Below are 5,157 nucleotides of genomic sequence, written 5' to 3' on the forward strand. Positions count from 1 at the left end.
AGGCTTTGACTGGAATGGTGCACTTTCCTTTAAGGATCAAACATGACTTATGGAGCCAATTAAATCCCCTTGGGAAAACTGGCCTCATTGCTTGTCTACACAGTTCCTGTCCAGGGTTCCTGACTTACGGTAAGTAACAAATGTCACTTTCTGGGAGGCCCAGGAGCCCCAAGTTTATCTCAGAACCTCAAAAGGAGAGGAATTCACCCAACTCATAGGTATTCGATGGTACAAATCCATGGCTGGGCTTGGCTTTATAAAAGTCTTATCTGAGATTCCTTTTATGGAACAAAGTTCCATCAAAGCCAACTTAAAAGCTTGTGTAAAAAATATTATTCTTGCTATACTATATACAAATAAGCAGGCCAAGTATAACAAAGCAAATCAGTCTTACCATGTTCTGTCTTTAATAAAAATGGGAAACTCGAGAAAGAAAAATTTTGTTTCGAAAACTAAATTTAGATTCTAGTCTTACCTAATGTTTTTCAATTTTTATTATTTTCTAGAGGTGGGACTGAATTCTAATTTTTATTATTTTCTAAAGGTGGGACTGAATTCTAATTTTTCTTGGCTACAAGTCTTCAAAATAATGTTTTCAATTTTTTTCCTTCCCCCTGCCATTTTTCCTATCTGGAGTCACTGAAAACTAAGCTGTGTTTTCATAAAGCCCTGTGAACTGAAGCCAGACAACTTAAACTTCAGAAGAAAGTAACAGCAACCTATTTACATACATAAGCCAGTCTCATACCTGCCTACTGATGTATGGACTTCAGAGTAATGTGGCCTACACCAATATTTCAGGATTGTTCTTTTGTTTGTTGTTGTTTTTCTCCCTTCCTCTCCCTATTTTCTCTTCACAGGATGTGAGACTTCACAACCTGCTAAAAATGAACTTTCCTAATAACTCGGGACCTACCCATCTAGGAATAAACCATCCTATTCATGACAGGTAAGACAAAACCTGAGACCAGAGACTCATTTTTTCCTAAAATGCTTTCTCCAAGAGATTTTAAAAAAGAAAAGGGGGGAAATGTGAAAGGAAAATAAATCTTGGGGCCCCAAAATCACTAAGCTAAGGGGAAAAGTCAAGCTGGGAACTTGCCCCCCATTCTATTCAAAGTCACCCTTCTGCTCACTGACATAAATGCATATCTGATTGCCTCATTTGGAGAGGCTAATCAGAAACTCAAAAGAATGTAACTATTTGTCTCTTATCTACCTATGACCTGAAAGCCCTTCCCTGCTTTGAGTTGTCCCGTCTTCACCTCAAGTTGTCCCACCTTTCTACACTGAACCAATGTACACATATTGATTGATGTCTCATGTCTCCCTAAAATGTATAAAACCAAACTGTGCTCCTACCACCTTGGGCACATGTTTTCGGACCTCTTGATTCTGTGTCACAAGCATGCATCCTTAACATTATCAAAATAAACTTTCTAAATTAACTGAGACCTGTCTCAGATTTTCAGTCTTCACAAAAGTAACTATTTTAAAAACTAAATCTGTAATTTGAAATACTTTTATAAAGAAACCCCTAGGTCCAGTTTGCTTCAGCAGTAAATTTTTCCAAAGATCTACAGAAAAAATAACTCCAATCTTGGACAAACATTTAAAAAGAGGGGACTCTTCTTAATTTGTTTTAGGAAGCCAGTAACCGCAGAATATTAAATATCTGATAAGGTCATCATGTGGAGAAAATATTATAACTCATTTTATTCATGAACGTATATATAAAACTTTAAATAAAATGTTAGGAAATTGAATATAAATATAAGTTGAAAATAAAATGGTAGAAAAATGAAATAATTTTTTTAGAAAGTGAATATATTGAAGCCATATTGGCTTTATTTTAGGAATAGCAATCTTCCTCAAACAAATCAGATCACTCCCTAACCTGGCTTATTGCTTAACACTTTTCAAAGGATCCATATTTCCTATCCCAATCATATATATAGTCTGAGTAAGTAACCTCCACTTACATCTCTAGTCTTTTTCTCTCCAGTAGCCCCATATCCTCTTTGCATTTCAGTTACACTGAATTGAAAGTTCTACAGAATAGTTGCTGTAATGTAATGCCTGTGAATTTACTATTTCCTTTCACTGGAGTTCCTTGTTAGCATTCCTGCCTACTCATTCAAGACATAATACAGATCTCATTTACTCTTGAAAGACTTTCTTATCCCCAGGCATATTTAATAGGTTCTTCTTTTGCTTCCCTACAGCTCTTTGAACACTGCATTAACATTTTCAGTTTACTTTTCCTTCTCCTGCACCAGGCTACACATATGTTAGGAGAAGAGAGTATTATTATAATTATTAACATTTTAGCACTTAACCCAGTGCTTGATATTTAACAGGGAATAGAAATCAAAGACTAAGAAATCCAAAGTTGCCTTTTCTATGTCAAAATTATTATGATTCTATATTAGTGCAGGCTAACTTAATGATGTTGGAGGAAGAGTGTAGAATTTGATGTTCAAATCAAGCTGCTAACTGCTTTCTTCTTCAACATTCTTCATGATAAATTGTACACACCAAGATGTAAGCCAAATGGCAAAGCAACTGTTTGAGAGCCACCAGTACATAACTTCCTAGTAAAATTGATTGAACAATGTGGTCTATTTCCTAATCTGGCTTCCTTTCTCTGAGGTTCCATTCTCTCCCTAAACTCTCCAAATTTTGAAATCTTTCATGTATCTCTCAGAAAACCCTATGACATTCAGATGAAGGGATCACTGTCCCTGGATTTACCCCTCTTCATCATGCTTGTCTCCAAGTCAGAGTCCTGCTATTTGGAGATGCCTCCTAGAACTTTAATAAGATCACCAATGATGGCTTTTCCACCTAAAACCCACAGAATAGTCAGTGATTGGGCTTTGAAACAGGAGCTATGAAACTTCAAGTCTCATGGCCTATGGGTTCATGGTACCTCGGTGACAGTTACTCAATACAGTGTGTACACACACATTTTCTTAACCATTGCCACATTAGATCATATCACTATGCCCCATTTCCAGTCTAGTCAAAATCACTATGATGAAGAAGATAAATCTAACAAATTTGACCTCTGCAAGATGATTCATCCTTATTTTGTCATAACTGAAGTGACTGTTGCACAGAAAAAGTCAGCAACTTTTCTTTCTCTACCTAGGAGATAACTAAAATCATCAAGGATAAAGTCTCATTGTTATCTTAATAGGGCTTTAAGATCATTTATTTTGGTAAGACCCCAATAAATCTAGTCTGCTTATTTCAATCTTGTTCCAGACAGGATAAGAGGAGATAGTAGACAGATTTTCTCTTTAATCGCATTAATACCAAAAAAAATTAAATTAGTCATATTATTAGATTATAAAATTTCTGTAAAGCAAGTCCAAGTCTCTGGCCATTAAAGATATTCTACAAAATAGTTTCCTCTTCTTTGCCTGAACTTCATAAAGAAAATTTTCTTATTGTAACTCTAACTTCCACAGATATTAAGGCTTTTTGATGACAAACAGACCTGATTTGTTCAACACACTTTGAGTACTTACTTTGTCTTCAAAATTCAATGAACACTTTTACATAGATGCTTTAATTCTTATACTGTTCTATGAGATAAGTGATCATAGCCTCAATTTACAGATGTGAAAATAGGTTATGAGATAAAACCTCAGGTTTTATTTTTCTACAAATTCCCAGCCAACTCACCAGGGTAGCAGGGAAGAAGGGATTCAGGATAGCCACTCTGAGATATCATACATGTGCCTCTGTCTGGGGCATCTTATTTTTACTCCTCTGAGAAAGGGCATATGAGGCAAGGCCTAAGTAGGGAGTGAGTACTTCCTTTTCACTAAAACACAGAGTCAAAGAAGCAGAAGTGACTGTAGAAATGGAATGATTTGATGGTATTCTAGAAAACTTTTATTCATAAACTACAGATTTCTGTGTGTTCTTCAGGGGAGGTCAATTTGGAAAATTTGCTGCCAACTTCTAATGTTCTGATTATACCCAGTGAGAGGTTGCACGTGTGTCGTATTTTCTCAAGACATAAATTTCCATTTTTGCTAATTTGTAATTAGAAAGCCTTTTGGTTTGCAAAGCACATTTAAAACCATGAAAAGGATGGCAGCATTTTCTACAGATGCAGTTACAAATGACAGAGATTACCCTGTGCATTTGTGTGTGTTTAAGATGATCTGTAATTGTTTTGCCCTCAGAACACTACTTAGCCAAGAAGAGGTCAGTTCTAGTCTTGAACTTATTCTTAAAGAGCTAAGCTTAATTGTCTTATAATTGTGTGGGAAACCCAAGCAGAGTTTATTGTTTACTCTTGAGGAAACAGCAGGATGATGTTAAGTCTCTGCAGGGTGCTCTGCAGATCACAAATTTTCTTCAAATTGCTCAGCAAATTGTGGTAGGGTAAAAAGAGACAGGCAACTACACCTTGTACTGGACTTAAAAATTTTTATCTTTTTAAACTGTTTGTATACATATAAATATGCATTGTCTTAATTTTAATTTTCATGGACATTTTAATAAAAGAACATCATTAAAGCAATGCAGCAAAGGTACTTGGGGTTTTAGAGGAATTCGCCTCTTGGCAAAATCCCAGGGAGCCATGGGAAACTGGCTTTCTCATTTAATTTAAATTCAAAAACATGCTTTATGGGTGTATTAGTCTGTTCTCATGCTGCTAATAAAGACATATCCAAGACTGGGTGATTTATAAAGGAAAGAGGTTTAATTGACTCACAGTTCCAAATGGCTGGGGAGGTCTCAGGATATTAACAATCATAGTGGAAGGGGGAGCAAACGCATCCTTCTTCACATTGTGGCAGGAGAGAGAAGTGCCGAACAAAAGGGGGAAAAGTCCCTTATAAAATCATCAGATCTCGTGAGAACTCACCCACTATCATGAGAACAGCATGAGGGTAACTGCCCCCATAATTAAATTACCTCCTACTGGGTCCCTCTCAGTACACGTGGGGATTATGGGAACAACGATTCAAGATGAGATTTGGGTGGGGACACAGCTAGGCCATATCAATGGGGAAACTCACGAAGACAAAAACATATCATTAACTGGAGCATCCAATGGGACTGAGTTATGGCTCCGTAATATAGATATAAATACAAATTGATTCAATTGCCAATTTCAACATTCATGGTGAC

The sequence above is a fragment of the Homo sapiens genome, chromosome 9 (genome assembly GCF_000001405.40).
Source record: "Homo sapiens chromosome 9, GRCh38.p14 Primary Assembly".
Taxonomy (NCBI): domain Eukaryota; kingdom Metazoa; phylum Chordata; class Mammalia; order Primates; family Hominidae; genus Homo; species Homo sapiens.